Here is a 25,261-nt window from a genome sequence, read left to right as displayed (position 1 = left end):
AAAAAAATACTTAACAAAAAATCGTAACACAAGAGCTATCAAAGAATAAATTTTGGATATAAACCAGAATGTATTTTTAAAAATCAGTTTCTCCTCAGGTGAGAGTTTCATGAACTTGATAAAATAATTTTTGTGATTTTTTTTTCCTCTATGCATTAGAGGTTTAAATACTAACGGATCCAAATCTAAGCTTAAAAAAAATTAAAGCACCACTTCTGAACTACGAAACAGATTTTTTTTTGCAGAGAAAATCAGTAGCTTATTTTGTGTTGGAAATACAAGCTTGTATCAAAGTGTGCCAATGTGTCTGTCCTTATTAAGGCTATAAGAAGTATTAGGCATTACCTGCTCTCCAATAAGTGTAGTTCTAGCTCTAAATTTTGATCTTTATGGCTTCTTGCATGTTCATTGAAGAAGAATTTTAATAAGTGATTATTTGGTCAAATTTCACATATCTAATATTATAGCATATCCACGAAGATAAAATTATGGCAAATAAAACTGAAAACAAAAGTGGCGAAATGTCCTCGTAATGGTAATTGAAGATCACATCATCAGCTCTCGCCAGCATGTGCATGTGTTAAACCGTAGAGAGAAACCTGTAATTATTGTAATTGCTCTTTTTGCTTTATACTAACAAGCTTCAAACCATGTTTCAAAGTAGTTGTTTTGAAATAGTTATTTGTCAAATCATCAAATCTCGGAAAGTAAATGGTAATGAGCTTTTTATGTTTATATTCTGACTGTTGGTCATATTATGCAGCTTTTCAAGTCCATAAAGTTCAGAGATGAAACTGGATGTTAATTATTTCTGATATCAAGGCCAAAGAATAAAATAATGTTACGAGTCCTGCTTAAGGTGAAAAATTAGGAATATTTGAATATCAGAATCTCTCAATTGGGAAACTCTCTATTCTTAGAAGAAAGTTTTCCTGTAAATAAGTGACAATATCAGTCAGCAACCTAAATTTTTTAAAGCTGAAAATTGGGGTATGAAGAGTGTAGCTTTTTCTCATTTATCACAGGAAGTGCTAAGATAAAAAGATCAATATTTAAATGACGCCACTAATAACATTTTTCAGTACATTTTACATATGGCTCTTTTTTTTCCCCCCAAACCTCACAGTTGGTTGGAACAGCCACACATAGGACATAGGTAGCCACTGGGTTTTAAAGTTTCCAGTAGAGTGTCAACTATGCAAATTACATTTGGCATTTTAAAAATATATTTCTTATACTTACTATTTTCAGAACCATGATTATAAATGAAAGCAGCCAGTATAAATGCTTTTATTTTTTTTAATTGCTGTTTACTTGCTATTACACAGCAAAAATTTGCTTAGGCCACAAAGTAATCAAATTTTTAAATTCCCCACTGGTTCAATAAAATAAAACATATCAAAGAGAAAGCATGTAGGAAAAACTGCTTTTTTGTGAGCTTATTTTTTAAATATAGTTGGCACTTTAATTTACCCATTTAAAAATAACAATGAAATTTTTTTTTATGCTTCATTACTTTAAAACAAAATTATGTTGATTTTGTTCTTTATGTTTAAGCTGATAAAAATTCACCAGACACTTAATCTTGACATTGTGGCTACATCTTGCCTTCCTGCCTCTGATTAAATTTTCAAAATCCCTGCATGAGATTCACAGATACCAGTTTGAACGTTTCTGTGAGGCTAATTTCTCAGGGAAAAAATATGGATCAGTTACATCTTTGGTTAATTTTATCTAGTTCCTAATTTCTGCTAGGTCTAAGCATTTTAAATATAGTGTTGGTAAAGCATCCTTCTGTCGCTGGGTGATGGCATTATTGCAGGCAGAATTAGGAGAAAGGACATTGGCATAGGAGAAAGAGGGTTGGGGAGAAAAGTGGTCAGGAAAAAAGATCTAATAGTTGATGCAGTCTTTTAAATACCTTTCCAACTGATCTACAGGAAATTGTGCTGAAGAATCATTTGTTTCCTGTTCCACTATAAATGTGGTTTGCATTACATCCCCTGTTCGGCTTTTTTTGTTGTTGTTTTGTTTCTACTAAATTGTAGTACCACGATGGAGGCTTGAGAATAAGTGATGTCTTCCTTTATAACTTATCTTTTAATGGCTTGATCATAGTTGGATTTTAGACACTGTCATATTTCATTATATGAATTTTGTATGTGTGTGTTTCCAAGCCTACTTGAAACTTCTATTACTGCTCTGCCACTAAGAAAAACAATGCTGCAGTCTAAGTTCTTTAGAATCACTATTGTAGGTCAAATACATGGTCTACATGCTGCCATCAGGGATCTATTAAATGAATCTCTTGTTTACTCATTCAGAAAATTTAGAGATTTTAGATGTGGTTCTGGCAATTGTAAAAGTTGTTAGAATTCAGATTTACTTTTGCCTTAAGAAGAAAATACAGTGGAGACATATATTTGCTCTGCACAGCTGACCTAAATGCATGCCTTGTACCTGTGAGAATTTCAGTATGCGGACACATAAAAGATTACTGGGCCTTTTTTCCCCCTCCAATATTATCAGAGTTACAAAATAAATAATCTTTCACAGTCAACATAGTTTAAAAGTAATTTTAGTTTTAAGCTTTTTCAAGTTTTTATATGTTTAATTGCACTTTATTAGCCCTTAATACTTCAAACATAACTCTAAGATGACACAGGCTAAAGTTGTATATGATAAACATTATTGATTACTTAAAAAAAAGGGATATCTGTATATTCATAAAACATTTATAATCTATTTAGGAAATCATCATAGTCCTAAAAAAAAAGCAGTTGTTTGTATACCAGGAAAAAGAGATCAGTAGTGACAAAAGTGGAAAAGATACTTGTATAAAATTGTCTCCTTTAGTGTGAAGTGATCTACTGAAAGTTATACTTGGAATTTTCAGAAAATGTCCATAGTTGTAGGCTTTATAACATTTCAAATTCTGTAATAAACTATTTGGCACATTATCATATCATTTTAGGTATATAGATACCATGGCATTTTATTAAGCAAAACAATTTTTTTCTTCTGAAGAATACTTAAGGTGAAATTTACTGGTTTTGAGCTTGAAAGTGGTTTGAGAATTATACATGAACTCCACTTAAACTTTGGAGACTTTCCTTTTTGCAGTGCTAAAGATCCATGACTTGGTTCCAAACTACAACCTTTTATTTGCAGATGTATTTATGGCACAGTACCACATTCTGATTAGAATTTAAGAGTTCACATTTCTGATATTTCTGTCTCTAAATGCTGTGTTGCTTCTGTTTACCTAGTTTTCTTCCTATTCTTCCTAATTTCTTAAAGAAATCTGCACATATTCATTGAGGTATTTAATCCAAAAAGATTTAAAAGAGACACTACGCCTCTAACATTCTGTTTAGGAGAGTATACTACTTTAAACTCCGTTCTCCCCACCTAAAAAAGGGGGGCTAAAGAGTGGGTTTGAACACCTGAGAAGTCAGAGGTGGGAACAGTGTAGATGATGGTCTAATTTCAGGCTCAACCAAAAAAAATGCAGGCTTTGGCTGGCATCCTCCAGGGACCTAGCTCTGTGCTTTCCTAGAGACCAAATTACACTCATCTTGAGAGAGGGCATGTTGAGGTAATTGGTGGGAGAGAGTGGGGAGAGTTGAATTCCAGCTGCTTCCATTGTAGCTGTCCTGAAAATGAATAGGGGATGTTAACAATGGAGGCTAACATTTGACTTGGCTTTTTCACCTCCACAAACCTAAGGGTGAGAATTATAGAGTACTGAATGACTGCACCAATAATGATCCTGTTTAAGTGGGAATTGCTATGTTGGGAAAAACTCACACCATTTTAAAAATAGTTGATGCATTTACCAACCACAGTCCTATTACTGTAGCCCAATAAAGTTTATCCACAGTATGGAAACACTCCTTTTTTTTATTGTCAGCCATCTAGTGTGTGTATTGGATCTTCACCTCTTTGGTTACCATTTTAAAATGCTCCTACTGAAAGACATTTGGAAGGCACCAGAATCCCATCTCCAAGAAGGGAAGCAAGATACAAGTGCCCTGTACTCCCTTTCTCCTAGAATGTGTGGTCTTTTTTTTTTTTTAAGGAGAATAAATACTGTATGACTCAATAGCTTTTCTAACGAATAAAACAAATTAAATTGATGTTACATGCGTATTTAAACCCTATCCAGTTAAGTACTGATGTGATTAAAATAATCAAATGTATTACTTAAAAAATTAAAAAGGATAAATTCTGCACCCCATTATTTTATTGACTTTTAAATATAAATTGCAGAAATGTTTACATTCCTAATGGCATTATTAAGCTAAACTGACAAATCAGAGGAAAAAGTTGATTGGCCAGCACATTATTATTTCTGCACCTGTTATTACAGAAGTGGAGGCTCAGCATTAAAGGAGCTGGATGGATGCTGTTTTCTTAGGCTTCCTTTGTGTGATGTGGGGGTTGGGATAAATGTGTAACAAGTGTAGTTTCACTTTGTAGTGCCTTTTTGTGTGTTGATGTGATTAAAAGACTACAGTGTTTTTCATGTCGCTTTGAAATTAATATGCAAATAATATGGGATATTAGGGCTTCCCTCTACCTGCTGCACTAAGCTTCCCTAAGCCAAATGGGGTGGGGATTGGTGTCAACTTTTTTCATACAAGTTGTTTAGTTGCAAATATCGCCAACGTTTTATCTCTACTCTGTGAATTTGTAAGGGGGGGAGGGAAATGTCAAACTCATTGAAGTAGGATTGAAGATCTGGGATGAAAATACTTTAAATTTTTATTTTCTACTTATATATCAGCCAGGATGTTAGGAGACCTTGAAAACATTTTGAAAAAGTTGTGTAACATTACCAAGGCTTTGGTATAAGATTATACTTTTCTTCTGGTTGAGTTCTTCCTTGTATTAATCATGCAATATCATTTCTCAGACACTTGAGCCCGGCTCTCCCCTGGAGCATAGGTGGCAATAATTGTTTGTTATTATAATTCTAGAATTTCTTGGGTGTTCATTGTCCGTAATTCATTTCACACAGAGAAATCTAAACTTTCTTCAGCCAGTAGAATAAATAATGCCTTCCCTGTCCTTTCCTTTTCTTTTTTAAATTTTGAGTTCTTTAGGAATGTCATTATAGTCTTTGAAACGTAATGACATTAAATTTGGATTGAAGGGGAAGGGAGAGGAACTTTTATTTCATGCCATCCAGTGGCTAGTTTGAGTTTGCAAAGAAATAGATACAATGCCATTATTTTCTGCAAGATACTAGTTAACACTATTCTCATATCAGTTTAGACTTTGTCCTGTGTAATAATTTAAATTCCTAGATTTTAATAACACTTAATATGTAGCATGGATCCCACTTAATCTCCCCCCGGCTTCACAACAAAATGTTTACATAAATGAACTCTCAATTTTGATATCAACTATTTAACTCACTCTTTCCTGAGTTAATACTTCCATAATTAAACATGTTCCACAGTTGCCATAGGAGTGTATCTTAAAAATGATGTTCTTCTCTGTTCTTTTGAGCCATCTGTTTGCTAGGTCAGTAAAGAAATGGGAGCCTGATTTTATTTTAAAGCCAATAAGTTATTACTCTACTATTGTATTAGACATTCAGCTTCAGAGGGAGTAAAAGATAAAATTCCATCACATTTCCACTTTCTTACATTTGCAGCAGAAACTTGTATGCTCAAATTGGTTATTTTCAACTCATGACAGCTGTGATATTTAAAATGATCACAGCTGTTGTGACTTAAAATTGATTTTTCTATTAACACCTGAGAAAAAGACCTGTGCCGTATTAAAAACTTAAATAAGGTAACTGTAAAATTAGATGTGTTGATGTGAATCTGGTAATCCTACTTCCCAGAGGTTGCAAAGTGCAGCACACCTCTTGCATGCTTCCAGGGAATGAGCTAAAACTGCTAGAAATAGATGCATGATTGTTAAAAGCGTTTACATTTTAAAGGATTCCTGTAATAGCAGATCCTCTTGGCCCAACTTTACAGTGTCACTTTTGCTGATAAAATCATTTAGGATTCAGTTTCCTTAATTAACCCCAAGAAAGATGACTTACATGAATCATTATGATATCCTAACCTCTAGACTAGAGAAGCTGCTTTACCTTTCAGATATGACATTGAAAAATGCAAAACCATACGGAATTGTTTCTTATGAAGGAAGTTTTGGTTTTATGGTGCTTTTCCTCCATTATCTTTAGATGACGAAAAAGGAAAAACAGATGAGAAAGGACAAATAGATCATGGCTAAGTAGCTTTAGGCTAGCACTTGTTTTTGGAATCTTTAATACATTTTTAATCTTCATGTTGAAGATCCATTTAACCTGTTTTAAAGTTAGATGGTGATTCCTGGGTTCAGTTGGTCTGTTTAAATGTTTACCTTTTCAGGATAATCCGTATTAGAATCTTGCATCTCTCAATAGATTACCTATTTAACAAAGTAACCAATTTAAGAAAACCTAAACACATTTATACATTAAGATATTTTCCTGTTTCGAGTTAGATGATGTAGTATATAAAATATATGGCTGGCCTGATGTGGAATTATGTATAGACAACAGTGTCTTCACAGATGCATTGCCAATAGGGAGCTATGTAGATTAAACTCTTTGGCCAGTCCTAGGCTTTTTACCTGTGTAACTCAATCAGAATTGAAAGCATGACAGGTTTTATGATGATGAATGTATGGCTGGATTGGAGAAAGTATGGTTGGGTGGGTAGATAGATGGATAGATTTCATAACTAGACAGTAATAGATAATGCCAATTATTTATTACTCAAACTTGTTTATTCCTCAGAAATTTTTCTGCAGAGTATTATTTTGATTATTGCATGTAGTTCAGAACATTTAGTTGAAAATGATAAAATATTTGCTGTCACATAATCAAGACTGCTATAGAGTTGGTTCTAAAAGTTCCAGAGTGAACATACATTACCTGTGTCAAAGTTAGAGGCTAAGACTATGGAGGGCCATAAGATCACAAAGTCAGACTATCACATACTAAGTGATCATGGGTGTCAATGGCTATTTCCTTGTTTAGTTGAAAGAAGATACTCCTCGAGATGGACATTGTTTATATGAAGATTTAAGAAAATCAAAGTGGATATTTGTTGCTGACAGACTAAGATTACAAACATATATCTTTAGAACAGGGTGTTCCCCAGGGGACATACGGCAATATCTGGAAACGCTTTTGATTGTCACAACTGTGGGGGTCAGGCAGGAGCTTGCTACTGGCATCTAGGGCTGGAGGCCAGGGATGCTACTAAACATCTTAACAGCGTGCAAGACAGACCCTCAGAAGTGCTGAGGTTGGGAAGTCCTGCTTGCAAAGTGATATATCTGGACCTTAAGAATTAAATAATGTCATAATAAGTTCCATAATTAAATCTTGGCATTGTGAGGCATTTATAGAGGATAACATTTTTTTGTTTTTTTTCTTTCCCTTTCTATTTCCCTTTTCCTTTTCTTTTCTTTCCTTTTTTCTTTTGTTTCCAAAACATTGTTTTTTGTTTGTTTGTTTTGGCATAGCACACTATAGCATTGCCCAGGTATTTCTACGTTTTACCATGAAAACGTGAGATTTTATAGTGTATTAAATATTGTACATTATTTGTGAACCAACTGGAATGGCTTCAAAGCAGCTGTTAGAATATGTTGAGTCAGTAACACAACATGTCTGCATACCCTAAACATATATTTGTCTTACCTTTTAAAATGTTTAGAACCCTCTATCAGTGTAACTATTGGTTTGTCTTGAATCATCCTAAATGAGGAAGTGTATTACCATTTTTTCCCTACAGGACATAAAGTGGAAAGAAGAAATTAGCATAAAGAAACTAATTAATAATTATGTTTTAAGTTTTTTGGCATTACGGACATTGTTTACATCATCATTAACATCATAACATCATATCGTCTGTTATCAAGAAAAGATTAAAATTTAAAGCCAACATTGAAGATGTTCTTTCCAGCTTTCCCAATAATGCAACTCCTTTACCTCCTCACAACTGGGGACCTCTCTCCCTGCCACTGCTGCGCTTCTCCTCAATGTGGATAATTCTTGGCCATGATACGGAAGTGATTTTGAAACCTCAGTTGCCTTCTGTAGCACCCTGTGGAGGAAGGTGGCAGGATCTGGTGGCTGAGTCTTACATCTGCCAACTTCTAGACCTCACTCCTTAGGTGCCACATTTTGGAGCTAGTTGCCAAGCCTCACAGTAACTTGAGCCACTCTTCAATTTCCTCCCCATGATATACAAAGTTCTCCAAGGTTTAATGAGAGTAGATATGGAGGCTGGGCACGGGAATGGCAGCTCTGATTTGCAGTATATCTTTGGTGTACAGATATGCTTTCATTTATTGCTTAGCCCATTAGCTAATGGAATTTCAATTCCTTCCCACAGGCATTCTCAGACCCTGCACTTCACTCTTCCTGTTTCCCTGTCCAGCTTGGTACAACACATTCTAGTAAAATCACACTGATGTGTTTAGGTTTACTTTGTACATCACATCTGTAACCATCTATAAGTTTGCCCTAAACTGGCATTTATTTTGAACTGTCTTCCACCTTTTATTGTACAGCGTTGTCTGTACTCAAAGTGAGCAACTGAAAAGAAAATTTTAACATTCTTTTTGTGTGCCAGACAAGTAATAAAGATTACTATTTTTATGGTAATTTTTTTATTTGAATATTTCTGTTTCTGGAAGATGGTAATTTTTTTAAATCATGAATTTCCTGTAAGTGAAACTATTTGAGGGAGTATTGACCTTTTTTTGATCAATCATTGATTATCTGTGTTGCACTCTCAGTATTTCTCTTATAGTCCATATGTCCCTCTGAATAATTGTAGAACAATAACTTGCTTACACAGTGTTTTTAGAATATGCTTCAGGAAGCTTGCCTGTGTGGTATTTAACTCAGACATTTATGGAGTATAAAACCAATCTTACTGTGACTTTTAATTATTAGGAAAGTGGCTTACAGTTAAAATAAAGCTTACAGAAAATATTGTAGCAATAATTAATATCCAGTAAAATACAGTTGTAAGCTTCGGTTCTTTCAGACATTTTCTCAACCCAGTTCTAATTTGATCGTTACTGCACCTCAGTAAGATAGGTGATGCAGGAGTCATCATCCCATTTCACAGGCAAAGCCTGGCCTGTTCAGTGAGGTAGCCACTGGCCCCATGTGGCTATTAACATTCAAATGAAGGCCAGGCACAGTGGCTTATGCCTGTAATCCCAGCACTTTGGGAAGCTGAAGCGGGAGGATTGCCTAAGCCCAGGAGTTCAAGATCAACATGATCAACATTGGGACACCCTGTCTCTAGAAAAAGTTAAAAAAAAAAAAAAAATTAGCCAGGCATGGTAGCGCTCATCTATAGTCCCAGCTACTTAGGAGATTGAGGCAGGAGGATCATTGAGCCCAGGAAGCTGAGGCTGCAGCAAGCTGTGATCATGCCACTGTGCTCCAGCCTGGGCAGCAGAGCAAGACCCTGTCTCTAAAATTAAAAATAATGATAATAATAATAATAATAAATAAATGATGTCAGTCAATGAGAATTAAATAAAACTTTAAAAAGATCACTTCCTTGGTTGCACTAGCCAAGTTTCAATTACTGAGTTTTCATATATGATCAGTGGCTACTGTATTAGCACAGATACAGAATATTTGTATCATTGTAGAAAGTTCCATGGGGAGGTGCTGGCCTGGGAAATGGAAGCATTGAGGGATTAAAACTTGCTGAAGATCATGTGGGTCATGACAGAATAGAGTCATTGCTGCTATATATTCCAATAGGATATTTTTACATTTTTCTTAGCTTTATTGTCAAATATCTGATGTAAGAATTGACATTTTAATGCTACCTTGTAGCACTTTACTGAATGCTTATCTCAACTGAATTTAAATTTAGAGCTTGAGTTACACAAACTTTTCAAAGGATACAGCCCTTTGCCTGTCTGCACACAATGGGGACCTTGAATTTCCAGCCAGTGATACCCTCCAGAAGGGACCATGTCTTAATGCATCTTTGTAGACCTTTTGGCATATTGTAGACAACCAAGAAATGTTTATGCAGCCTAATGAATGTGTCACATCCACCATACGGGCATATGTCCATACATACAGTTAGACAAGACCTTTGGGTAGAATGCTCCCGAGAGAGCTGGTGTCTGCCAAATTTTACAGAGCTCATGCCTCTGCTCTTGCTGTTTTAGTAAAAAGTAGTATTTTATCAAAAGTTAAATTGGGTTCAATATTCACCATTTGGGTAATGGGTACATTAGAAGCCCAGTCCCCAGCAGCATGCAATATTCCATGTAACAACAAGCACGTATACCCCTTGGATCTAAAATTTTTTAAAAATATGTATTTACTCACATAATCCAAATATTTTTCATAGTAAATGAAAACGTCTGTCCATCTTGTCCTTAGCAGTCATTTAGTCCCTAACCTGACTTTGTGTTGTTATAAAGTTGTGTCACTTAAGTAGTACTTAAGTAAGTACATACCTACATCCATACTATCTTTCCATTTCCTGCATCACTGAGTTGGACAAATGTGCCCAGTTAGCGTTGGTAGTGCTGAAGACCATGTTCATTCATACATGCACTCAAAATCATATTAATTACTTTTCAGTGATAACCATAGGTGGCAACAGATGAATGGGCTAGCCCTAGGCTATTATTAAGCACTGGGAATGAGATTGTTGGTGCCTTGTACCTGTGCTACTTTAACAGGTGAGACAATTCCAGAGCTTTCCCCATCATCCTCTCGTTGCTACAGTCTAGACATTGGGAGCACTGGAAGCCTATGGTGACACAGACTGGCAGATGCCTTGGGCTTCTAATGGTGTATATGTAAGCCATCATTTTGTTTGTAATAATTATGGTGTTGAGAAGCATTTGTGTGCTGTGCACTCTTTCAGCTTGTGCCACGTTTAGTTCCTGTTATGCAAATACCACTTTAAACTTAGAAATTCCAATTTGCATTAATATTTTGGTTTCATAGAGCTAACTATTGCATTTCACAAACAAGTGCATTTTAATGAGTACCGGCAGAATGATTTAAAAATGTTATTTATTAAATACTATTGTAGAAAATGCAGTCTTTGGTTGCCAGAAACTATTAAGACGAAATATAATGTGTGTTGAGGCCACAGAGTACACCTCTTCAAGAGTATTTGACCCTTATGGCTTTCAGTGATACAACAGCCAATGCTCTTCATGCAGGCTTGGAGGGCAGAGGTAATTAATATAAAATAGAAGCCAGCGTACCATTGACGTTTGGGTTTACTTTTAAAATGTAAACATATTTTTACTATTTGACATTTGTCATAAGACCATAGGTCATTTACCTCTGAGTTAAGGTGAAGGACTTTACCAGTCATAAACACCCAAGTTTTAAAGCAGTGTTTTCTTATATCTTACATCTTGATGTTAAATCCTGAAATGGAGTTTGTTGCTGCTTTATAATTTTTTTCCCTCTTCCTAAAAGCCTTTTTTTAAATCAGAATTGTGGATAAAAAAATTTTGATGTACAATGTGTGGGAAAATAAAAATTTTGCAACTGGATTTTCAGAAATGAACTATTTTAACACATGGACTTTGAATGCTGCTGTCATGGTTGTCATAGCTTGTGGTTCCTAATTATAATGAGCTTTTTTGGTGGTGTTATTGCAGTTGTTTTATTCCCCCTGCCCCCACCCAGTCTTCAACTCACTTTTCCCAGAAGGAGAGTTCCAAGCCTTTGAAAATTCTCATGATTTTGCAAATCCACTCTATTTTTGTCTAGAATACAGGAAAGTTAAAACTGTGGCTGGTATGATGCCATGTTTTGAATCCAATTTTAAAGCAACCCTTTGCAACCCAGGGAGTAAAGCTGACATCTTTGTATCTGTAATGAAGATAATTATACCTGCAAGGTGACATCACTAGCAAAGTAACAAATACCCTTGAAAACGGAGTTCCTGGTCTTCTCTGAATTCTGTAGACCACATTTGGCATTTAACACCAGACACCTCTTTCATGCCTGTCGTTTGAGAAGTTGCTTTCAGATGAATTTACTAAAGCTGACTGACACAGGGTTAAATTAATTCTTTTCTTTATTACTCAAAGTGATACAGACCTTTCTTGGACTAATGTAGCTTAATTAGTGGTCAATTAAAACTGAACATTGCTGAATTGAAGTTCTTTGATCAAACTCCCTGGCATGGGCTTGCTTTCTTTAACTAGCCACCATCTTGAATTCATTTGGAATCAGTAGTATAAACAAGTTAAAAACTGGTTCTTTTATAAGAAAGTCAGCAGGCTTGTATAGCTGTGGTTTCTTTTTTTACTTCTGTAGGCGGCAATTCAAAGGCATGCTAAATGAAAACAGTACTACACCCTGAAAAAATTACATTTTTAAAAGTAACACTAAGCAGTCAGAAAACAGTCAACACCCTTACCTGTTTATTCTAGATACATTTATCTTCTATGTAGAACAAATAATTAATAATTCACTTCCCAATTTCAGTGGTTGATTTTGTTGTTACATGGAAGGTGAAAACTCCCCACCCTCCCTTGCAAAGTCTATAGTTATAACAAAAAGTGAAGCAAACAAAATCCAACCTGGTTGTTGGGAGTAGAGTCGGAAGGGGCACGGTAAATGAAGGTGTGCCCAGTTGCTCCTAAATTCATTCTTTGTCACTCTTGGGAAAATAGTTCACCTCTGTATCTTTGGAGTGGGAGTGACACACTACTTCATTTACTTATTGATTTCATCATTTATTTTGAAGGGCATTATCCTATCAGTATGGAAACTGATAATAGCATATATTTCATATGAATCACTTGATTAAAAATACACATTGCTTTTGTTAGAATTTGGGTGAAGTTACAAAAAAAGAGAATTAGGGGAGCTGAAAACTGGGGCAGAGGAAATCGTAAGCATTGGTAATAAGATCACCCACCTCCATTTATCCAGTTACATGTCTTAATATTTAAAGTGTATATACCATTCTTGTCTAAACATAAATTGATACCATTCCGTAATCCTAGTTTTTGAAAGCTTAACAACCAAAAACATACATCCTAGCTGGCATTCAGTTAGTGCTGTGCATTCTGGAGTATTAATTGAAACTGGTACTTTTGTACTGGAAATAAAAGTAATAGATTAGGTTTAAATAGATAATTTGCTTAGTTCATAGTGATTTCTTCTGGTTTTTGGAAATTTTCACAGAGAAAGAGTTAAAGGAAATTTGGAAGTGACCATGTACAGTGTTCCCCCTGTAAGTGACAGAATTTTTGTGGTTTTCATTACTTAGATCGAAAAATTGTAGTTATAATCAATAATTAAAATTAAAAATTTTACCAGTTGACAGAAAGAGAAATTGTTTATAGTCAATGTGCCTTTCAGCCTTCTCTCTTGCCTTCTCCCTAAAAGGCTGATTAGGATGTAATAATTGGGGATGATAGCGGGAGGAAGACGACAATTCCATTTAATTAAAGATAATTTATTTTACTTCAAATTGGTGATGTCCCACATGAATAAGAGTAGCTTTAGCAGATAGATTTATTAATGGGTACTGACATCTCAGTTGACAGAAAAAGCAAACATTTTCTTTCCTCATTGTTTTTATTGTGTCCCGTCACCTGAAACTGCTGTCACCATGCTTCCTTTGCTGCTTGACAGAGCTGTAGACTTTTCCACCAAATATGCAATTATTGGTTTATCATTGAAACAAAGTTGATCCTCTTCTGAGTTAAAAACTAGGCCAGGAGCTTGAAAGGCGGTTCAGGCTTTCAGAGCTAATGCTACAAATGCTCTCTTCTTAAATCACATTTTCTCAACTGATCCTTCCCATATCTAGTTCATGAGTAGATTGAACCTTTTGAATAAGGACCAAAGATTTCCTTTGGTCTTGGGTGAGGTGCTTGCATGAATATTCCTTTAATACCTTGAATGTCTTGGATAATGAAATGTGCCCCAAAAAACTACCATTTGCATTACTTAGGTTCATTCCTGACAAGGAATTCTGCCCTCGTGTGATATGTTCGTTGTTGTCTCATGCAATCGTAAATGGATCTTGGAAGTTGGGACAGTTTTTTTTAATTAGGAAGTAGATTCAAGAAATGCATGATATTGTTTTTCATATAATCTCCTCAGTCTATAGTGGTTGTAAAGGTGTGCTGTTTAGCATACCTTTAGCAAAACTGTATTTATAATTCTATGTATCTTAAGGCACTTTTTAAATGCTTCTGACAAACTGCATTCTGTTTTTCCAATGTCTATTTGATCTCTGTTACATTAGGCTTATTTGTCTTACTCTCACATCGAATTCCTATATTTTTGTTTATGTTTTCTGGTGTTCAGTCATTTCTGTATGCTTGCCTAGTATGTTTCTTTCATACCGTCTTCTTCACTGAATGAAATGCAGACCACCTTGGCCACTTCCTTCCTTCTGGGCTTCTTTTCCTATTCACAACTTCCGCCATTCACACTGACCCTCTAGCTTTACTTATATCTATTGCTCCTGCTGCTTTGTTGCTCTAATTTTCATATATATTTCCTTTATGCTAATATCCTTTCCTTAACTCTTTGGATTTCACTGGTTTGTCTTTCCAGCTTTATTTAGAAAATTAGGCCATATAACTAATGTTTACACCGTAGAAAGGAAAATGAGATTCTTTCTTTCTTTTTTGGAAGTGAAGAGGTGAGAAGGTTGTGGTAGAGGTTTTCTTTTATTTTAAACCAGATGGATTTATTTTGTCCTGCTTTGCTATTTCACTATTTCAAATTGATTTTAAATCAGTGATGGTGTTTTCAAGGATTAATTTTTATTAAATCTTGATTTTCATGTCGTGTTAACCTTTTCCTTCCCCTCAGCCAAAGGGTCTTCTTCCTTTTTTCTGTCCATTTCACTTGTTTGTTTTAATAACCTGATCTCTCCAGCCATTATTTTATCCTCAAATCCTGCCACTTTTATCCATCTTTTTTTATTGCACTGTTGTCCTTACTTCACCTTATATCTTTTCTTCTTCTGTAATTATTACAGAATCCATGATACCTTCTCCAAAATTCTAACAAAGAATTCTGGAAAAGGAGAAATTGGGAAAGAGAAAAATTGCAAGTAATGTTCTTTGCTGAGCCCTAGGAAGTCTGCTTGGATTTTTATATTCGACTGATATTCCTCCCTAGAGTTGCAGTCATGATTCTATGTAGTAGGGACACGAAGGCAAAAGTTTAAATAGACTAACACTGACCCTTAATTGGAGGTGATAATCCTACATATAAACTTTCAGGAGGGAAAGCGATCCTGCATTTTACATCAGGTAAACTCAGTTGCACCCATTGCCAGTAGCTGGGTCAGGTGTGTAGGGGTGTGTGTGTGTGTGTGTGTGTGTGTGTGTGTGTGTGTGTGTACGTACTGGGAGCCAGGTTGGAAGTAGGAAGAGAAGGAGGTTCTTCTTTCCTCTCCCACTTGCAAGCTATTTTCTTTCTTTTCTGTCTGTTTTCATTATTTCTATGGCAAGTTTACTTGCCACGTCTTAAACACCTTCAACCTTTTTGTCTCTTCCTTTACTTTTTTGCTTTACTGCTATCAAAGAGTTAAGGAAGTCCATTAAATTGGAGGCCATTCCTCACCATAAGAGAAATCTGGATGGGATGCTTTTGACAACTGGGCTCTCTTTAGTAGCTTCTCTCTACTTGGGAAAATGTCAGATATTTTGAGAAATAAATGCATTGCCCCAAACTGAAAACACCACTTTTATTCTGTAAAAGAGGCATTCAGGGAAGGAGACCTCCTCTATTCCCAGGAGGTCACAGGAACTGGGAGTGGCAAGAAGGAAGCTGCTAAACGGGCTCCAGATGCAGCTTTATCCAGGGGACGCCTCATGCCTGGTCATTTGGGTGGCTGGGCTTGTCCCACCTCCCCTTCTTCATGCCCTCCTCCCGGTCTCATCCTAGGCCCTCCCACCCCTAGGCCAGCCACAGGCCTCACAGCGGACATCTGCGGGTCTGAGTTTCATATATCCAGCATGAAGTTCCCTCTCTCCCTCCCATTATGAATTCTGGGCTGTGGTCCTGCTTGCTCCTTGTGTGTCAGATTGAAGTTCTGATGCTGTCAGCCATGTCTGACCAATCAGCAAACAACACCACAGGATGAAATTTAAACAATGCAGATGCTCAGATACAGGGCTATGTTGCCTGGACCACGAAGGGAAAGCAGAGGTAAGGTCAGAGTCTCCCCAAAGTGGTCTATCCTGAGCCTGCCTGACTTGACACCTCTTGGGCTGCACTGTGCTGCTTTGACTTGTATGTTACCCATTTGCTTTGCACTACTTCTGTCTTCCCTGGCATTCACCAGAACTTTCATTTTAATTCGCTCTGCCCGGGTTACTTTACCACCTTCATCTGCTCACGTCCTTTTCTTTTGGATTGGTGCTGACTGTCATTACGAATGTTCCTGGATTGCCTCGTGGCCGAGGGTCCTTGGCAAGTGCCACCTTGTTCAGGTCTTTTGTGGCCAGACTTTTAGGAATAGAGGACTGCTGAGGATCAGGGCAAACGGACGGAGTTAATAGGCCTTATTAATTTTCCCTCTGCAGGACAGTGGAATTTATCATTCGGTTACAACCACGGTTTTGTTTCTTACCATTGTGATGTATTGAATTGTAAATTGAGCTTAAATCATCTTTTTTTCTCAGAAACGGTTTACTTAGAAAAGATATAAATAGATACAACCTAAACGAGGATGAATCAGCTCATCTTCCAAGAGTTTTGGAGGGGGAGAAAGGGAATTGATAACTCTCCCCCACCCGAATCCCCCCCCACTTTTTTTTTTTTTTTTTTTTTTTTACAGTTTTTGGTGTTAGCTCACTAGATTACTGTTTGCAAAAGAAGAATCTCATCATCATCCTCTTCTGTTTTAAGTGTTTACTTGGCCCTTTTATAATTTAAAGTGTTTACACGGTTCTGTGCTCCCTAGGCCCATCTGGAAAATATTTAAACTTCATAAGATCTATAAGACTAGAATATCACATATAATGGGATAGGGGGAAGGAAGAAAAATTAGAGCCGTTGCGTGTGTTTAGAATAAGTTAGTTGTTTGTTCAGAAGCGGCTGCTGGAGGAATTGGAACAAATAGCTGTGTGCGGTGAACGATTGGGTCCAGAGCTGTACATTTCACCACAGAATGAGCCTTGGTTTGTGAAACTGACATTCTGTTGTGACTTCTAAATCCAAACAAATCTCTGCAAATTTCTGCCCGATCGAGTTAATAAGAAAATATATACATGCAGAGGCGAGAGCCGTATGCTACTTGTACTTCTGTCAGTGTTGGTGGAAATAAGAGACGGATTTTACCTACTGTATTACATTCAACCAGCAATTGGCAGAACCCCCAGCTCAGCGGGTTTTCTTGACTTTTTTTTCTGCTGTGAGAACAATGGGATGCAAAAGGGCTTCAGAAAAGGAGAGCAGCAGATACGGGATTGGGGTCACTTTTCTTCTAATTGCCTTGTAATTGGGGAGTGGTTTCCACTTTCCCACTATCTCACTGGTGGGAGGGGAGGAAGACAGATGTGGCTTAGCGGTAACGAGCTTTCTCCAGGCCGGATGTGCTGAGGGACCAGGGGGGTCATTCCCTGCTCTGGGCCTGTGATCTGCTTCACACCTGTGCTCATTTTCCCCCATGATCGATGACCTTGTATTAACCCAGAGTGACCTTTTGCCTTCGCCTGTTCTCTGGGACGAGCTCTTGGCTAGTGGACCCTCCTTTCTCTCTGATTTACAGGTGGTTACTGGAGCCACATACACTTGTTTTTCATGGTGCACTGTGCACTTAGCAGCCCGGCAAGACCTGCAATTTCATCCCTCTCAAGGGGCCAAGCAGGGGATTGGAAGGTGGGAGGGAGGAGGGTGCCGCGAGAGTGGTTGCTGTTTGCATGTGCTTTTCTATTTTGTGGCTCATATGGTATCAATTACCATTTGATGGCAACGCCAGGCCTGAGGCCCTTCGCATGTTTGTCCTGTGAGAAAGATCTGGAAGAACCGACATATGGTTTTGATTGCAGCAATTGCAGGTTGATAGAATGAACGCAGGGGTGAGGTGGGTGGGTTTTCCTTCCGGCCCTTTCCACTCTGGGTTGCTAATGTGCTTCGCTTGTGGAACTGGTCTTTTCATCATCCAGCCCCTCCCCCACTTACCCCTCCCCCACCCCCAACTCCCTGCCACTTTGCATTCCCTGCCCCTGCCTTCCAAATGACCGCCAGGAACATGTGGCCCACATTAAGGACCTTCAATTAAAACAAACAAAAAATTGTCCACTCTTCTGTTCAGTCCCAGAGCAGGTCAGTCCATCAAGATGGTTGGAAGTGTACCACAGTTAAGAAACAAATGGTTGGCATAGGGGGCAGATTCCCTCCAGAAGCTTGGGACATGTTTTAAAATGGCTGTTAGTTCAGATTGTTAAACATCGAAATGATGCTGAAAAATAGCAGCAATAGAGATTAATGTGGGGTGTGTGTGTGTGTGTGTGTGTGTGTATATCTGTATGTGTGTGTATTTCATTTAAGACACCTCTTGGAATCTGTGCATCTGCTGCATAGGGACAGGAAGATGATGATAATGGATAGGAGTTCTTTGGGGTTCCATCTTTCTGTACATCCCAGGCCATAAGATGATGGAAAAGCAAGTGAGGCATGTGTGTCTCTATGAGCATTTCCCTTCAGAAGGAAGATGTTGGAGACTCATCTCCCATGCACAGTGACTTCTCTCTTACTAAATTTGTGATGGTAGGGGGTACTCCTCATTACTGTGGCTCAGCAGGGATTGCATCTGTGAATATGCCAAGGGAGGGTCTACTATTGGGGAATGGTGAGAGGCAAAGAGGAGAAAAGAACATTATAGGCACTTTGAATGTTACCCAGCAACATTTTTTTTGTTGTTTCAAAGTAACATCTTTCTATAATGCTTTCAAATTTACCTGTCTGGTAATCTGTTCTAAGATGGGCAGCCCATGAGGTTTTGACTTTTTTCACTTTGGCTATTGCATTTCAAAATATTACTCACAATTAGGAATTTATACCATTTGAAACAATAATGTGGTATCTCATGAGTAAATGCTGCCATTAACATCTTCCTTCTTTTAAACTGAAAACAAGCAAACCAGACCCAAAAAAAAAAAAAAAAAAGCAGAAACATGCTCCCCCAAGAAAGCTTGTTTTTTTCTTTGAGATGGAGTCTCGCTCTGTTGCCCAGGTTGGAGTGCAATGGTGCGATCTCGACTCACTGCAACCTCCACCTCCCAGGTTCAAGCGATTCTCCTGTCTCAGCCTCCCAAGTAGCTAGGATTACAGGTGTCCACCACCACACCTGGCTAATTTTTTGTATTTTTAGTAGAGATGAGGTTTCACCATGTTGGCCAGGCTGGTTTCAAACTCCTGACCTCAAGTGATCCGCCCACCTCGGCCTCCCAAAGTGCTGGGATTATAGGCGTGAGCCACCACACCTGGCCAAGAAAGTTTTTTAAATGTGAGATGAATTTTTAGTTTTGAAGGCCAGCTATTGAAACCTAATCACACTGCTTGACATACTTCTTCATATTTATCTTTATATTAGAGCTGATCTTTATCAAAAGGTAGTAGAAACTAAAAAACTTAAGTTATTGACCTAAATTGTAGGGAAATGTCTGTCTGATCGACTCTAGAGAGAAAATTGGCCGTATCTTTATAATGGTTACTGAATGTATATCTTCATGAGGCTACAGTTTTTTTTTCTTTGCTCCAACTTTCTCCTTATGATGTAGAGATTGGTGTATTAAATAATCACTTTTTCAACAGTCTTGATGACAATTTTATTTTGCTATTTCATAATCTTCATACAATGGGATAAGTGTTTTCAGAGATACGTTTGAATTCAGAGCAACTGGCAATTAAGTGATTTGCTCTAGTCACATGTTTTAGTAGTAGCTATTTGGTTATTTGCCTGATATTTAATGCACACATATGTACCCTTAAATCATCATTCAGTGTGATAGCTTAAGACAACATTTCTGTTTGCTGCTCATGCCACTATTAGCTACGTTTGAAGAGTGATATACTGAGAAGTTTAATTTGCTGGGGTTTTTTTCTAAAAACATTGCTTTCCTGAAATATATAGTATTGGGGGCTCATAGCAAAAAAACCGTAGTATATGGGTTGTGAGCCTGTCTTCGAACATGGTGGGTCACTTAACAGCAGCTGTGCTGGAGAGATATTTGATTTGAGAAGACTGTTTTGAATCTTCTCAGCCCTAACACCATTCTGGTTTTGAAATGGGAAAATGGAAAAGAGTTTTAGGGAATAGAGATATCTCAGCCTTGAAAGGAAGCATAGGTAGAAATCTTTCAGTTCTCACTCAGATGAACCAGCATTCCTAATCTGGCTACCCTCACAGAGGACAAAGAGTCTGCTGGGAAATGTGGGTTTATATTTGTAGAGACACACTTCAGAGGCATGAGATAGTGTTAGATACCGACTGGATGCTTCGTGCCCAACATCAATTTGGTTTGCAGATTGAAATTTAGGAAAGCTTGCAGAGGAGCCAATCTTTTTTATATACAGCACCTTTAAAAAAAAGACTGTCCACTACTATTAAAATCTGATTCAGTCTTCTAAAATATTACTACATTCAAGACAACTTTTAAAATGATCAAATTTAGATAGACATCAATGATGTTAAAAGATAAAAGCCCTCCTACATGTAATATATAGTGTCTTAAACCTTATTTTTTAAAAAAGGGATACCACTTTTGCCAAAAGTTTCAATGTAGGGATACTCAAACTGTCCTTGGAAGTCCTAAAAATTGCTAGTTTTTTTTTTGTTTGCTTCTTTTTTTGTTGTTTTTGTTTTTTGTTTGTAGTTATTCACAAATGGAGAAATATTTATAAAATTATATTATAATTTGTAATGCACGCAAACAACCATCAGACCACACTTGAATCAGAGAGTTACAGTTATAAATTGAGGAAAGAGGATGCCAGCACAATGCCTAATGGAGTGAAAAATTGTGCTTATTTTCACAGGACTCTCTTGGAGAGGAGCTAACTACTTTCCTCTCTCTTAATACCCAGACCCTCTCCCTCAGCCCTGACAGCACGTTACAGAATGCATTCACTTAGTGTGTGAAGAGCTAGCTCACCACCTCCCTTTAAGATCTATTCTTGTTATTCATACATTGCAAATTTGTACTTTTGTATCCACAAGGAAGACATTACTAACTTCAAGAAAGGCAGTGTCAATGAGGAGCAGGAAAATACAGTATGATACAAGCCTGCCAATGAAAGAATTATACTCAGACTCTATGCGCTCTGTTAAACAAAATTTGAACCTTTGAGGAAAAAATATTGGGGATTCTGATGAGTGTTTTTACTCTTTCTTTCCTTTTTTTTTTTTTTTCTATTTGGAAATCATGGCTTCCTGATCCTAAGGGATAAAAAAAAAAAAAAAAAAAAAAACCTCAAAGAAAAGACTCAACAGGCTTTCTGGACATCAAATAGTTCCTACAAAACAACATTCTGATGACTTGCATGTAAAGAAATCAGAAACATATGAATTAAGCTTCTCTCGAAATACATATGGGTTGAAAAATAGAGAGAAGTGCTGAGAAAATGTGTTTTGGGTTTTGCTGAGCCCATGACGTTTGAAAAATAGTATGAGACATTGAACAAACACAAAGCATGGCTTGGCTCACCCATTCCTAATATTAGCCTTCTAGTTCAACGGCAAATCAGTTTACCATGTGCCTAAATGTGAGCCACCTTGGTGCACTCCCCCACACTTAATTATATGCAGTTTAAATTTTTTCAATTAGGAGCTCAAAAATAACATTGCATTTCAAGGAAATGCAAATCTTAGCATTTTCTTACCTGGTTTGTTCACCTCAGACCATTTTAGAAAACACCACAGATTATTTCACCTTAGGAGCAGTCACACTGATGTGGCCCTCTTTGATGTGGCTGGCATATAACAGAAGAAACGTATCATTTTTAAGAAACTGGCTCCAAAGACAATATTGCTATTAAATTGAAGCCAAAAACCACTGCAGGTAAAACATGATGAAGATGAAGGACGCCCTCTCTTAGCCATATAGTAGAAGCCCGATCATAGACTCTCACCCTTACACCATGACTTGAGTTCCTGCTCATTTTTATCCCTGAGCTCTGCAGACTTCTAAGCAGTGGAAGTTTTCATTCTCTTTCCCACATTGCACTCAAGAGAGCTAACATGAGAGATTCTAAATCCTGGGATTCCTCTGCATCTGGCTTTAAGTACAGGAGCAGAACACAGGGAATTTAAGGAACAAAAATAGCCAGAGCTTCAGGCTTCTTCCACTGATGGTAAGTCATTGACATGCACTTGGATGAAATCCTGTATCTGTTCTTTGGACTAGCACTATCGCCTGAGATTATCAGTTTCAGAGAGTTACAGAGAGGCAGTAGATTTCATCTTTCCTATTTCAGGAGGAGTTATTTTGGTTGTTTAAAAAAAAAAAAAACACTTTAATGTACTTTTCCTAACTCCTTCACTCAGATGGTGGCAAGAAGTTTGACAGAATAAAGTAATTCAGCTAATATTTATCAAATGCCTACTATGAGTGAGCTGTTAGAATATAACCCTGAACAAGACAAGCATGAGATAGGCAAACAGACTATTAAAACCTAGACTGATAATGCATTGATTGGGGTGTACAGGCTCCTTAAGGTAGATATACAAAGGACAACTAGTCCACATTTGGCCTTAGAGGAAGTGAAGTGCAAGGATGAATGGGAATTAAGCTGGCAAAATGCAAGGGTTATAACTGGAAGCAGGGGTGAGCATGGCATATCCGGTGACCCAGAAGTAGTTCAGAATGCCAGAAGCTTATGGTACAAAAGGATAACATAAAAGATGAGACTGAAAAGGTAAACAGTGGCCTGATCAAAAAGCGACTTGTGAGCCCTATTAAGGAGTTGAGATTTTATCATGAATGTGACGAGGAGCCTTTCAAATGGGTATGCCTGAGAAGTAATTGAATTTAAAAGTCAAGACGGATAGGAGGACCTGGAAAACTTAGAGTCAGAGAAGCCAAGGGAGGCAGATCTGACCAGAAGGAGGAAATTGTCAACAGTGTCAGATGTTGCTGAAAGATAGAAGTGACATTTGGCTGCAGCATCCAGGAGGTCTTGAGCAGTTTCATTGAAGTAGTGAGTGTGGAAGGAAGGTAAAGAAGTGGAGAACAGGCATTGCAAGATAATTTTCCATCATCGTCATCATCATCGTCCTCATCACCGGAAAATGAGCATCAATTATCTTATCTACCAGACATAGAGAGTGACCAGGTAAGGAATGACACACCTGCAGCCTGGGAGATTTCAGAAAACAGATCATAAATATAAAACAGAAGACAGCAACACATGGTACAACACATGCAAAGGGCAAAATGAGCAGTGTAGGCCAACGGGATGAAGAACAGAAAGAATTAGGGGGCAGGTGAAATGGGAGAGTTTTTCAAGCAGTCAGTGCGCTTGAGGTTTGCATTCTGGATTGTGCCTCCTTATAAGTCAGTCCAACCTGTTTTTGATTCTCCATCCAGTGGAAATAGGAAACACCATCAAAGATGATGCATAGTCTTAACTTGCCTGTGACTTCTGATTATGTTTCCGAATTTTGGGAGGAAGATTAAAGTCATAAACTGACTCTTGGTTTGTTATAATTTCTTGCAACTGTTATTTTAAAAATCCGGACACAGGCCAAGGCAGGAGGATTCTCTGAGGCCAGGAGTTTGAGACCAGCCTGGGCAACATAGTGAGACCCTGTCCCTACAATAATAAAAGTAAAATAAAAAGAAAATCTGGATGCAGAAACTGAGGTGTAGATAAATATAGCAAGTCAGAGATATTCGTAAATTCTACATCGATGAGTTTCTTGAGAAATTCTGCACACCCAGTGCTGGACAACTGTGGAATTGCAGCGTGATACCTTTCACATCTGGGTCATCTCCATATGATATCTTCTTCCTGGTACAAGGCCAGAAGTTCACCCCACGCACAACACCTATGGAAGCCACTTACGATTCAAAGGACAGTTTTTCTGAAAAAGGGTGCATGATGTATACTTCCCTTCAACACTAAAATTCTGCTGCTTAAACTTTGTAAGTGAAGGAAAGGACTGGTTCTCTTCTACTTTGGCTGTCTTCCTTGTTTCCTATTTATTGGGTGCTTGCTTTGGGCAACCCATTGTATTGGATGTGCTCTAAACCACAATCTTTGCTCCTAAGGAGTCCGTAGTATTTATCGGGGGATACGACCTGGATAATTCATATAAGATATGAATTTCTTTCTTTTTCTTTTTTTTCTTTTTTTTTGAGACAGATTCTCACTCTGTCGCCCAGGCTGGAGTGCAGTGGCGCGATCACGGCTCACTGCAACCTCCGTCTCCTGGGTTCAAGCAATTCTCATGCCTCAGCCCCCCAAGTAGCTGGGATTACAGGCACCCACCACCATACTCAGCTAATTTTTGTATTTTTAGTAGAGATGGAGTTTCACCGTGTTGGCCAGGCTGGTCTTGAATTCCTGACCTCAAGTGATCCGCCCACCTCGGCCTCCCAAAGTCCTGGGATTACAGGCGTGAACCACAATGCCTGGCCAAGATATGAATTCTAAAAAAAAAAAAAAAAAAAAAAAAAAAAAAAAGTCCTTGGAAAGTTTAGAAGATGAAATACATTTAATGAAAATTGAGCTCATTCTTCCCCAATATTTGTTCCATATTCCTCTCCATATTATACTATTAGTACACAATCCTGTTTGGACTTACTGGAAAAAAGAGCTGAATAGCTTATCCACATGTCAAGAAACTTTCTGTTTAAGAACACTGAGGTTCATCAACATCAAAAAATATTTTCAGCATCATTCAGGCACTGGACATGCTCTACAAATTAAATACCTTAGGGCCCCTACTATTTCAGTGTTTTCTCAGTGTCTTGTTGCAGTGGCAAATGCTATGAACTACATTTTTCAAATGAATATTGAAGATTGAGAAAGAGGTTAAGAACCTCTATCTATTAACGATAGAACCAAATCTAGAAAGATGTCTCCTGCTCTGTAGAGCACATTAGGGATCATTATTTATAGCCATTTGGCTCTCTTAAGACATTTTGGCAATGAGGGAAAAATCATAGGTTGATTTTCTTGGTGGAATGAAGAACATTGAGTTTGCTAACAAAGAGAGCATGAGTGACT

General features: G+C 37.6%; 1 protein-coding gene across 46 annotated transcripts in view; it reads left to right on the top strand.

Moving 5' to 3' along the window:
* The window catches only part of TCF4 (transcription factor 4), a 413,773-nt gene that overhangs the window by 317,311 nt on the left and 71,201 nt on the right, over nt 1–25,261 (top strand). For 2 of the 46 annotated variants that reach the window (NM_001243236.2, NM_001348216.2), the window contains exon 1: nt 15,987–16,231. The exons of the other annotated variants lie outside the window; for them this stretch is intronic. In NM_001243236.2, coding sequence (NP_001230165.1) covers nt 16,163–16,231 — 69 coding nt within the window. In that variant the 5' untranslated portion in view covers nt 15,987–16,162. Of the gene's footprint in view, nt 1–15,986; nt 16,232–25,261 lie in introns of those variants that run through there. 46 annotated transcript variants of the gene reach the window in all.

This window comes from Homo sapiens, chromosome 18 (genome assembly GCF_000001405.40).
Source record: "Homo sapiens chromosome 18, GRCh38.p14 Primary Assembly".
Taxonomy (NCBI): domain Eukaryota; kingdom Metazoa; phylum Chordata; class Mammalia; order Primates; family Hominidae; genus Homo; species Homo sapiens.
Note: the sequence above shows the minus strand (reverse complement) of the source record. Positions and strands in the feature narration are given on the sequence as shown.